We start from the raw sequence: 12,017 nt of genomic DNA, 5'->3' as shown, positions 1-12,017 counted from the left end.
AGGCAGAAGGATCGCTTGAGTCCAGGAGTTTGAGGTTACACTTATCTATGATGGCGCCACTGCCCTTGGCCTGGGCGACAAAAGCAAGATCCTGTCTCCAAAAAAAAAAAAAAAAAAAAAAAAAGTGGAGATGAAGGAGTTGGAAAAATAGATGTTGTGCAGGGACATGTATGCACCACAACACAGATGCTAGGAATGTAGAAGCTCACGAAAGGGGCAATTGAGGCCCTCTAAGGCTGTGTATCCTCTGCCTCCAGGCAGTATCTTCTTCACTCAAACAGATGGCTGGAACTTCACTTCTGCAGAGCTCTGGGCAATGAATCAACTTAGCATCCACTCTCATGTGTTCTGAGTTAGAATAATCTTTGCTCTGGACTGTATCACCTTCCTGAAAATCTGAGAAATACTTGGATTATTTCTGCATCCTGAATGACTTCAATTTTTACCCTAGTATGGGGAGTTGGAGGGCCTGGAATCCCAATGCTTTCTTAATTCCCAAGCCTGTTTTAGGTGGTCCCAGGAAGGGAATGAGAAGGGGGTGTGTATAAAAGAGGGAAGTTGAGGGGATGGCAGTGCAGGTAGCCGCAGGTAAGGATTCCCCAATCCTCATTAGAGATCTCAATTGAATAACTGTTGCTATCTTCAAAGAAGAGATGGGACAGACAGCCCCCTTTACTCCACAAGGAAATGGCAGGTCTGTGTGTATATAAGTTGGAAGGCTATATTCATTTGAATATAACTCTCTGAATACATTTTTGTCTTCATTTGAATATATTAAATTTCACTGAGTCCAAGTTGAGTCACTTTAATGGAGGGGAAGCAATGGCCTAAATAATTCAAGGCGGTAGATAATCCCCAAATCATTTATGAATGTGATTGAAAGGCACTTGGAAGGGGCTTTGGAAGGTGCTTTGTGGACTTCTCTGGGCCAAAAGGAAGAAATCATTAATGGAGGTAAATGAAAAGCTACTCTTAGACCTGTACCAGAATAGCTGTACAGACCCCATGCTATTGGAAGAGCAACAAGCAGGTTGGAATTCTGAGGGCACAAAGAGAGTCGCAGTTATGTATGGATTGAGAGAAGCTAGGAAACAATAAGCTCACAACTGGCATCACTCCCGAATTAACCAATATACCACCTCGGAACAGCCCAGGCACTGGGCAAAATCCTTAGGTAAGAATTTAAGTCTGGCTTTGTTATTCACAAGGTTGAGTAATATTGGCTAAATTAATTCCCCTCTCTGGGTATCAGTTTCCTAAGGGGACTCAGCTCAAATATGGGATAATTATTTCATTTTTCACAAAGTATTTTATCTTTTTATTGTAATCATAGCAAAAAATTGACAAAAGTAGACATTGGGAAAACTATAATCCTATGATGTTAATATGACATATTTTTACATTTGTGTGCTTGACCAGATTTTTGTCCATATGAAACAAAATCCCGTTTTTACATAGTGTGTGTACCATTTTGTATTATTATTTTCTGAGATAGGGTCTCACTCTGTCTCTCAGGCTGGAGTGCAGTGGCATGATCACAGCTCACTGCCGCCTCGACCTCCCAGACTCAAGCGATCTTTCCACATCCTGGGCTAAGCCTCCCTCCCAAGTAGCTGGGACTACAGATGCGTGCCACCATGCCCTGCTTTTTTTTTTTTTTTTTCCTAAGAGATGGGGCCTCCCTGGCTGGGACGCCTGTAATCCCAGCACTTTGGGAGGCCAAGGCGGGCAGATCACAAGGTCAGGAGATCGAGACCATCCTGGCTAACACGGTGAAACCCCACTCTACTAAAAATATAAAAAACTAGTTGGGCGTGGTGGTGGGCGCCTATAGTCCCAGCTACTTGGGAGGCTGAGGCAGGAGAATGGCATGAACCTGGAAGGCAGAGCTTGCAGTGAGCCAAGATCGCGCCACTGCACTCCAGCCTGGGGGACAGAGCGAGACTCCGTCTCAAAAAAAAAAAAAAAAAAAAAAAAAAAGAGATGGGGCCTCCCTATGTTGCCCAGGCTGGCCTGGAACTCCTGTGCTCAAGAGATCCTCCTGCCTGGACCAGTGTTGGGATTACAGACATGAGCCACTGTGCCCGTCCCTATTTTGCACTTTTTTTCACTTAACATAAAAAACAGTTCTGGGCTGGGGGTGGTGGCTCACGCCTATAATAATCCCAACACTTTGGGAGGCCGAGGCATGAGGATCATTTGAGCCCAGGAGTTCGAGACCACCTTGGGCATCAAGGTGGTACGTACCCCCATCTCTACAAATAACACAAAAATTAGCTGATTGTAGTGGTGCATGCCTATAGTCCCAGCTACTCAGAGAGCTGAGGTGGGAGGATCGCTTGAACCGGGGAGGTTGGGGCTGCAGTAAGCGTTGTTTATACCAGTGCACTCCAGCTTGGGCAACAGAGTAAGATCTTGTCTCTTAAAAAAAAAAAAAAGAAGTATCAATGTACTGTGTATGGATTCTACCAGTATCCGTGGTCTGGAGGGCCCCCTGGCCACTTCGTGTTAGTCTCATACCTTTGAAACAGTAGTGGTTCCAGTGTTCCATTCTCAGTTGTTTTTTTTTTTTTTTTGAGATGGAGTCTCGCTCTGTCGCCCAGGCTGGAGTGCAGTGGCGCGATCTTGGCTCACTGCAAGCTCCGCCTCCCGGGTTCAAGCCATTCTCCTGCCTCAGCCTCCTGAGTAGCTGAGACTACAGGCACCCGCCACCACGCCTGGCTAATTTTTTGTATTTTTAGTAGAGACAGGGTTTCACCGTGTTAGCCAGGATGGTCTCGATCTCATGATCTCGTGATCCCCCCCGCCTCGGCCTCCCAAAGTGCTGGGATTACAGGTGTGAGCCACCATGCCCGGCCTCAGCTGTTGTTCTTACCCCAGTTTGTTCCCATCTTCTAAAATAGCTTCTATACTTTCATTATTTCAACCATTACTTATGGACTTATGACCCCCCACACCGATATCTCTGGGCCTTGACTGTATCACTGTTCTCTCTGTATCCACTTGCCCTTTGCTACCTCCTCCTGAGAATCCTGGAAACTCCTCAAATGCAGACCCTTCAAAGTCTGCCCCAGACCTGCCTTTACTGCATTTTCCTCCACTTCTATTCTCCTTATCCCTCCCAGAATTTCACAGAACTATGCTCCAAGCCCCAACAAGCTGGTCTCTTGGATTTCAATGCCTCTGCTCCCACAATCCACTCTGCATATTTTGGTCTCTTCCTCCCTGATGCCTTCATGGGTTCCTCCAAGTAAAATTACTCATTCTCTCTTTGGTGCTTTCACAACCTCTTATGCCTCATCTGTATTATAAAATAAACTGCGAATTCCTGTGGACAGAGTCCATTTCTACTTCATCTGTGGATCTTCAATTCCTGGCTGAGTGTGTAGCATATAGCAGATGCTTATTAAATAATTGTGGGATGAATCAGTGGTCAAGTCATGGTTCCCACTTGCTTCATTTTTCACCAATGCTGTCATTGTCACCACTGATCAGTGCCCTTACTGTTATCATCATTAACTTGATCATGATCACACTTCCTTCATGGTCACTATTATTAACTCCATTGACCACATCATCTCATCATTTACAGCAACAAAAAAAAACCTTCATTAAACATCTGTTCCCAGAGGATAGTATGCAAAGAGCTTTTAATGGAGTTACATGTCATCCCTGCCTTCCAGAGCTCATAGTCTAAAACATAGTTTGTGCTGGGACATGGTCATTATAGACTTTCTGAAGGATGAACAGTGAACAAGAAAGTGAAAATTATTTAAAGAATGACATGAGGCCAGGTATGGTGGCTCATCCCTATAGTATCAGCACTTTGCGAGGCTGGGGAAGATTGCTGAGGCCAGGAGTTTGAGACCAGCCTGGGCAACTAGCAAGACATCTTTACAAAAAATTAAAAAATTTGCTGGTCGTTGTGGAGCGCACCTATAGTCCTAGCTACTTGGGAGGCTGAGGTGAGAGGGTCACTTGAGCTGAAGAGGTTGAGGCTGCAGTGAGCCCAGATCATACCACTGCACTCCAGCCTAAATGTCTGTCCCCTACCCCACCAAAAAAGACATGATGTGACATTTAGAGAGGCACGGTGGAATCCCCAGCCCTCTCACCTCCTACTTGGACTTGTCTCCATCGTCACCCACAGTGTGAAACTCACCAAAAACACTAATAATGGTTAGTAAGACTTCACTGCCCAGACTTTCTGGCCAGTCCCCGCCCCAGCTCCATAGTCTTCCCTTCTGCCTTCTTGCTTTCTCCATGAGACTGTCTTGGTCTAGATATCCTTATCACTGAGTCTGATCACAGCAGTAAGATTGCACAGTATGCCCCCTTGAAGCACCAGAAGTTTTTGGTTTCTGAGTTTAAAAGGTGGCTCATAAATCACTTACGCCCTTGTGGTGCCTCAGGCCTGGGAGGGGAAGCACAGAGACGGGTGATGGAGAGCTGTTGCTGGTGGTGGTAGTTATAGAGGAAAGCATTTGGGATGGAAAGAGGACAGGATTTTAGAGAGTGAGAAGGATGGGAAGAAACCAAGCCCCAGAGGGAAAAGGGGAGAGGAAATGTAAGTAGAAAGGGTGGGTGCATAAAAGGAGAGGAAAATAAAAGGCAGTAAAAAGGCAGGAATGATGTGAGGTATGGTAGGCAGTGAGAGAAAAGGCGCTATGTGAGGGAGAGCCACCTGAGTGTGTCCAGGCATCTCCTGGGCACCACAGCGTGAACGAAAGGTGAGATAAGAGTCTCAGCAGGTAAATTCACCAAGCCCTCCTGTTTGTAGGATGGGAAGTGAGAAGGCTGGGGATTCCAAAAGTGCCCAGCATCTTGGATGTCACACACACACCAGCCTCCTATAAGGTCATTGAGTTTTCTGTTGTTTCACTCAGAAAAGAGGCATGGTGGGAGTGGGAACCTTATATTAATATCAGTTCCCTCAGTGTTGGGCACACCCATGAGTGATGTGACGCTGGGTCCCGACTGTATCTCTTGGTGCGGTAGGACTTGGTACATGTAGCCAAGGGGGAGGTTAGGGTTAAGGGTGATAGATCTTTGTCATTAGTTCGAGGAGTTAAGAAGACCAGAAATAGGGCTAGTATGAGGGAGGCTCTGGCCTGTACAGGGATAGGATGAAGCCTGGGTGGAGTGAGAGGGAACAATAATGGATCAAACAGAGAGAAAAGTGGAGCTTTCCATGCAATGAATGCATGTATATCTAACAATTCTGAGAGAAATTGAGCCCAGGAGAAGGCTCTGAGTAGCCCAAAATGTCACATTTGTCCCTAGGCCTGGAACTCAGGTCTGTCTTCCTGAGCACCCCCGACTGTGTTCTGTTCTCAGAAGCTTTGACTGTGCCCCTCCCAATCCTGGGATGCACACTTAGGGCATAATTGACCATAATTAAGGGCAGTCTGGACAGTTAGGAGGCCTGGACATTTTTTTCCCTTTCCTTTTGAGATGGAGTGGCGCTGTCTTGGCTCACTGCAACCTCCACCTCCCGGGTTCAACAGAGTCTCCTGCCTCAGCTTCCTGAATAGCTGGGATTACAGACGTGGGCAACCACGCCGGGTTAATTTTTGTATTTCTAGTAGAGACGGGGTTTCACCATGTTGGCCAGACTGGTCTCAAACTCCTGACCTCAAGCGATCCATCCGCCTCGGTCTCCCAAAGTGCTGGGATTACAGGCGTGAGCCAACGAGCCCTGCTGGACATTTGTTATAAATTGACCAAGGGAACACAAAACCAGAGAAGACAGGAAGCACTGGGGGAGGCGTGGTTTGCACACCAAGAGCTGTCTGGGAGAAGACGGTGGAGACAGGGGAGGCATGTTCAGACTAGGGCTCAATACTCAGAGGGAAGTCCAGAAGGGTCCTTTCTTCTAGCCCCTTTAGGCAGCCTGAGGTGATTTGGGGGTTTGTGCTGCCCCCTGGTAGCCACTGTGGGAATAGCACTGAGAACTATGCTCAGCAGAAGAACCGGTATGAACCCCATCCTACAAGATGAATTCTTGCTGTCTCATACTTTTTCTTTCTCTCTCTCTCTCTTTTTTTTTTTTTTTTTTTTTTTTTTTGAGACGGAGTCTCGCTCTGTCACCCAGGCTGGAGTGCAGTGGCGTGATCTCGGCTCACTGCAAGCTCCGCCTCCCAGGTTCATGCCATTCTCCTGCCTCAGCCTCCCGAGTAGCTGAGACTACAGGCGCCTGCCACCGCGCCCGGCTAATATTTGTATTTTTAGTAAAGACGGGGTTTCACCATGTTGGCCAGGATGGTCTCGATCTCCTGACCTTGTGATCCGCCCGCCTCGGCCTCCCAAAGTGCTAGGATTCCAGGCTTGAGCCACCGCGCCCGGTCTTCTCTTTTCTTTTCTTTTCTTTTCGTTTCGTTTCGTTTCTTTGTCTCGCTCTGTCACCCAGGCTGGAGTGCAGTGGCACGATCTTGGCTCACTGCAAGCTCCGCCTCCCGGGTTCACGCCATTCTCCTGCCTCAGCCTCCCGAGTAGCTGGGACTACAGGCGCCCACCACCATGCCCGGCTAATTTTTTTTTTTTTTTTTTTTTTGTATTTTTAGTAGAGACGGGGTTTCACCATGTTAGCCAGGATGGTCTCGATCTCCTGACCACATGATCCGCCGCCTCGGCCTCTCAAAGTGCTGGGATTACAGGCGTGAGCCACCGCACCCGGCCGCTGTCTCATACTTTCTTGCAGAATGCATACTGGTAAAATTCCTTAAGCCTCTTGGCCTGGATTGTTAGTGGAGGTGCTCTCCTTCTCGGGGGCAAGGGAGTGAGATGGAACCTCATGTCACCTGTCTGGACTCTTAAGACATGTAGTAAGCATTTTATGTACTATTCTCGCTCCATCATTACAAAGTCCCTATTAAGTAGTCACTATTATTCCCATTTTAAGGTGAGGAAACAGCCTTCGAAGGAGGCAGTTACTTCTCCAAGATCATGCGGTGCCAGAGTTTGAACCTCAGCTTCTTGGCTCGGAGTCCAGTGCTTTTTCACGGCATCAGCTCTCCACTCATAATCCCCCTGGTTTCTCACCCCTCACAATCTTGGGCCAAGATGCGTAAGGACCCAAAAAGTACCAAGAGGAGGGGCTCTTCCATGGGATGTCATGTAAAGGCTGCTTGGGACCACCAGAGCCCTGGGTATCTATGTGTGCCTGAAATAGTCAAGGCCTCACTCATTTATTCAGTATTTGAGTATCTCCTGGTCTTCAGACTTTGTGCCCAGAAGTGGGATACAGCAAAGAACAGACATATTCTCTGTCTTAAGTGAGAGCTCACAATTTGGTAAGTGCAACTGACCAAATGTTTTTGCAGTAAGTGCTAATAGATGTCATTATCAATTGCCAGGGGTGAGAGGAATCTCAGAGGTCTTTCCAAAGGAAAGAACGTCTGTGCAATGATTTTCAAAGAATGTGTCTGTCAAACAGACAAGAGGGCAGAAGAGCAGTCCAGGTGGAAGCAAGGTGCAGGTAAGTCCAGGCAGAGTGAGAGAGCTCATGAGGAGCTTAGGGACCCTCAGAGCAGTTTTGTGTAACCGAAGCGCTGGCTGTTGTGTGCCTGAGTCTGGCCATGATGCAGAAGATAAGGCTAGAGAAGGGGGATGCTGACAGAACGTCAGGGGCTTTCTTTGGCAAGGGTGAACAATATAAGCTTTATTCTGCAAGCCTGGGAGTCCAGAGTTTTTAGCTGTTGACCTCCATTAGACCAATTTTTTAGCAAGGTAACCCCAGAGGCAGGACTACCACCTAAGAGGCTATGCACCAGTCCTAGCAGGAAAATCCCACCAGAAGCCCCTGGTCCAAGGCGTCAGGTAAAGATGAGCGCATTCAGGAGACATTGACCAAGTCGAGTCCAAGAGAAATGGAGGAACCAGAATCTGAGATTGCAGGCTTGGCCTGCGCCAGTGCGAGACAGACATGCCCAGAAGGTGGCTCGAGCCAGGGGAGCCGGGTCCGGGCAGGACTGATCCAGCGGTTACTCAGGGAGGCGTGAGAACGCGCCAGTACCCGGGACGTGAACAGCCGCGGCGGAGGCGCGCAGGGAGAACGCCTGCCCCGCGTGGGGCCTGCTCGCCCAGAGCCGCCAGCCACGAATTTATGGCCCAAAGCCGAATGCAGCTGTGCGCAGCTGGGTATGCAAATGTATGCAAATTCGCGCTGCCCGGCCCGGGCTAGGTTGCGAGCGGAGTCAAAGGGTGGGGGAAGGGGCGCAGCATTGTTACTGTTCTTGCGCTCCCAGAGGAGTTCAGACGCGGTGCGGGAGGGGATGCAGGGGGAAGAAATACATCTTCCCTGTCCTGACCGTCCCGCCTCAGGACCGTGACAATCTATCGGGACGAGCGTGGGTTCCCTCCATGTCCTCAATGACTTGTGCCCTCACGCCCTCAGCCCCACCCTGCGTAAGATGCGTGCAGGAGGAAGGGTCCTGACACCCAGAATACCTGAGCCCCTGTTGGTCTGAGCGTCCTTCCTTCACTGCGAGCGGGAAGGAGCCGCAGGGTGGGTAGATGATCCCACACCCGCCCGGGTCTCCCAGAATTACCCCTCCCCATAGCCAGGGAGGGGGTCGTCCGGAAGACCTGATTTCTTTCATCCCTTTATTGTGACCCGTCCTTCTGCCTCCCATCCGCTTCTTGAGAAGTCCCTACAGAAGTCTAACCATAGTCACATTTGCTATTGTTTCTGTTTTATTTTTCCGGGTGGTTTAGTGAGAAGATTATTCCCAAAGTCCCAAATGTTGGGTTCTGAGGGTGTGGGAGTGGGGCCTGGGCATCAACTCCCGCCCCCTCTCCCCCACCCAACGACCAAAGAATAAGTCCCCACGCTAGGCAAGAACTGGAAGGGAGTCTGGGCTGAGGCTGTCATCTCCCGGCTCTGGCTTGTTTTTTTTCCCGCTTTTTTTTTTTTCCCTTGCTGACTCTTCCCACAATGGCCACAAGGGGTCTTCCTTGCGCTAAGAATGGGAAATCCGGCGTCAGGTTTGAGCGCTGTGAGGGTGGGGCGCCTAGCGATGCTTCCTCTCCGCGGTTTCCGAGCGCCGAGACCTGCAGGCGTCCCACCTCCCCGCCCCTCCTCGGTGGCTTCACTCAGTCGCAGACGACTTCAGTTCTCTTACCCCACGCTCCAGACTGGAGATTGGCATTTCAAGATCTCCTGCTCCTTCCCCTAAGCCTATGGAGCAACCGGAGGGCTGTGAGCTGAGACAAGAATTCGGGCCAGACATATAGTAGGCGCTCAATAAATGCTTTTCAGATGAATGACAATGTGGCAGTGTCCTGTTCAGAAGCTTGGGCAGGGAAGAGATGACTCGGGTGAGTTGAGCAGGACACCCCTCCTCCCAAAGCAAGAGGGTGCCAAGAGGCGGCTCAACTCCCTACCAGGGAAACTGAGGCCATCTGTGGGACTTACATATTGATACAGCAGGGGAGGTTCTGAAGTGACAGGGGCAATTAGAAGGGAGGGGTTAGCCAATCAGAAAGCTGTCATGGATTGATCTGACGTCGGAAGGCGGGAAAAACGGAAGATCCAGGCCCCTAAAGGAAAGCTTTGTTAGAACGGGAAAATGGGATGTGAGCGTGGAAAAGGGGCTGGAGATTTGGATTGTTTAGCTCAGAGAAGGAAAGTTAAGGCAGCCCCTTTCTCCTGTGAGGTCAGAAGTTGTTAGGTTTAGCTGAAGCTGCAGCAGGAGGAAGGGTGGTCAGACACCAGGAAGGACTTCCCCGTTGGAGTCAGACGTGGTGGCAGAGGGTGAAGGGGTGATGACGTCGTTCCCGGGGTGGGAGGTGAGTTATCTGAAACCCTCTTATAATGGGAACCCGTCAGGGGTGGTGGGGGCGGGAGATACAGTTAAGGGTTAGATGCAGTAGGTGGAAGCTTAGGTGAAGTCGGCTGCCCTTCCCCCACGGAAGCGGCTGCAGGGCCCGAGAGGTGGGAGGTTCCTGACCAGGTGCTCTCACGCTCACTGCCCACCTGGATGGACACCTGGGTGGTCCCGCCACACACCCCCACTCAGGGCTTGCAGGAAGTCCTTCCCCAGCCGGATGGGGCGAGGTGTGTTTGGATGAACCGTAGCCTCGGGTTGCACCCGGGTGGCGCAGACCTCCTCGAAGACCCTCACGTGGGCTCCCGTGGCAACTCGCCAGTCCCATCCCCTAGCTTTGGCGCATTCAGGGCCGCTCCTGAAATGTCCTCCCTGCAACCCTAGAAAAGGCTCCTCTGGGAAGCTTGCCCTGTTCTCGCCAGCCTGGTCAGAAATCCTATGGCTCTTCTACTTTGTTTCTCTGGGTGACCTGGGTGAGCAGGAACCACACCTTGATTAGCACATAGTAGGGACACCAAATAAAGTTTTGGGTGGAGGCCTGGCTTTAAATCATGCACTGTCCTAGCTGTGTGACCTCGGTTTGAAGCCCCATGTCCTGATCCGTGAAATGGGTACTTCTGTCTTGCTCACTTCTTAGGCTTTTTTTTTTTTTTTTTTTTTTTGAGACAGAGTTTTGCTCTTGTCGTCCAGGCTGGAGTGCAATGGCACGGTCTCGGCTCACTGCAACCTCTGCCTCCCAGGTTCAAGCGATCCTCCTGCCTCAGCCTCCCAAGTAACTGGGATTACAGGTGCGTGCCACCACGCGCAGCCAATTTTTTTATTTTTAGTAGAGACAGGGGTTTCACCATGTTGGCCAGGCTGGTCTCAAACTCCTGACCTCAGGTAATCTACCCGCACCGGGCTCCCAAAATGGTGGGATTACAGGCGTGAGCCACCGTGCCTGGCCTTCTTACGCTATTTAAAGGACTATGTGCCTGAAATAACCAAAGGGAAAGCATTTTGTTTTATGCAAATGCAGGCTGTGGGAGTCCAAGCCATGCAGACACCCGTGTGCACAGGGGTGGGTACACCCACATTCACACAGGTTGAATCTCTTGGAGGGGCTAGGTCCGCGTCTTTGGAGGCAATCAAGCAAAAGCTGGAGATGGTAGGCGGGGGGGCCAGCTAGGGAGAGCTAGCTGTCAGATGCCAGAGAGGGAACCCAAGAATGCGAGGGGTGGTCCCCAGAACTGGCTATCCTAGACCCAGGATCCGATTCTCCAGGGCGGGATCCCAGTTCCCTGGAGGATTCTGGGTACAGGCCAGTGGGCCTGGACCCTGGCGCAGAAACACGGGACCGAAGACCCCGCTGTGGGAGCCCCGAGTCGGGGCTGCCCGGCAGAGGGCGCCCAGGCTGGCTCGGGCACAGCGCTATAGCCATCTTCGGGTGCGGCCCGCCTCCTATTGCGCCCTCTGCTGGCCAACAAGGACACTATCGCGCTGCCTGTCTTCAGTGCCCACAAAATGGGCGGGGTTCTGCTAATTCAGGGGCTGTTGGCCACGCCTCTTCTGCTGAAGCCTCCTGCATCCTGGACGCCAGAACTCCCAGCCAGGCCTGGCTCTAACTCCTCCACCCTTCAACTCCTTGTGGAGAAGGGAGCTCCTCTCCATCCTTCAAAAGGTGAATCCAAGTACCAGGTTGCCTGCCCAGCTCCACACTCACGCTCGACCGGGGAGGGTGATGAGAAGAATCCCCAGCAGCGTCACGCTTAGGGTATCTTTATATCCAGATTATGGAGGTTTAAAATTCAACCTGCCTGCTCCCAGCTGCCTGGCCACTGCCTGGTCCCAGCCTGTCAGTCCTTCAGGATGTCTTAGCTTGGGCATGTTCCAGCCTTCTCATTGGACCCCCTGCCTACTGTCTCTCCTCTCCACTTACCAAAATTATCTTTCTAAAACACAAATTGGCCGGGCGCGGTGGTTCACGCCTGTAATCCCAGCACTCTGGGAGGCCGAAGTGGGTGGATCACTTGAGGTCAGGAGTACGAGACCAGCCTGTCAACATGGCAAAACCCCGTCTCTATTAAAAATACAAAAATTAGCCTGGTGTGGTGGCGTGCCCCTGTAATCCCAGCTACTCGGGAGGCTGAGGCAGGAGAATCGCTTGAACCCGAGAGGCAGAGGTTGCAGTGAGCCGAGATGGCACCATTG

The 12,017-nt window shown here is 50.7% G+C and overlaps 2 annotated features.

Moving 5' to 3' along the window:
• Nucleotides 8,125-8,174: a silencer, noted in NCBI's record as "silent region_4524". NCBI's record gives its function as "represses an Ori minimal core promoter by ATAC-STARR-seq in GM12878 lymphoblastoid cells {active_cell/tissue: GM12878}" and the evidence as "EXISTENCE:reporter gene assay evidence [ECO:0000049][PMID:35858748]".
• Nucleotides 9,976-10,161: a silencer, noted in NCBI's record as "fragment chr12:54609784-54609969 (GRCh37/hg19 assembly coordinates)". NCBI's record gives its function as "represses an EF-1alpha promoter that drives an FKBP-Casp9 reporter gene in an ReSE screen in K562 erythroleukemia cells {active_cell/tissue: K562}" and the evidence as "EXISTENCE:reporter gene assay evidence [ECO:0000049][PMID:32094911]".

Source organism: Homo sapiens, chromosome 12, assembly GCF_000001405.40.
Source record: "Homo sapiens chromosome 12, GRCh38.p14 Primary Assembly".
In the NCBI taxonomy this organism is placed as follows: Eukaryota; Metazoa; Chordata; class Mammalia; order Primates; family Hominidae; genus Homo; species Homo sapiens.
This window is presented reverse-complemented; position numbering and strand designations above follow the sequence as displayed.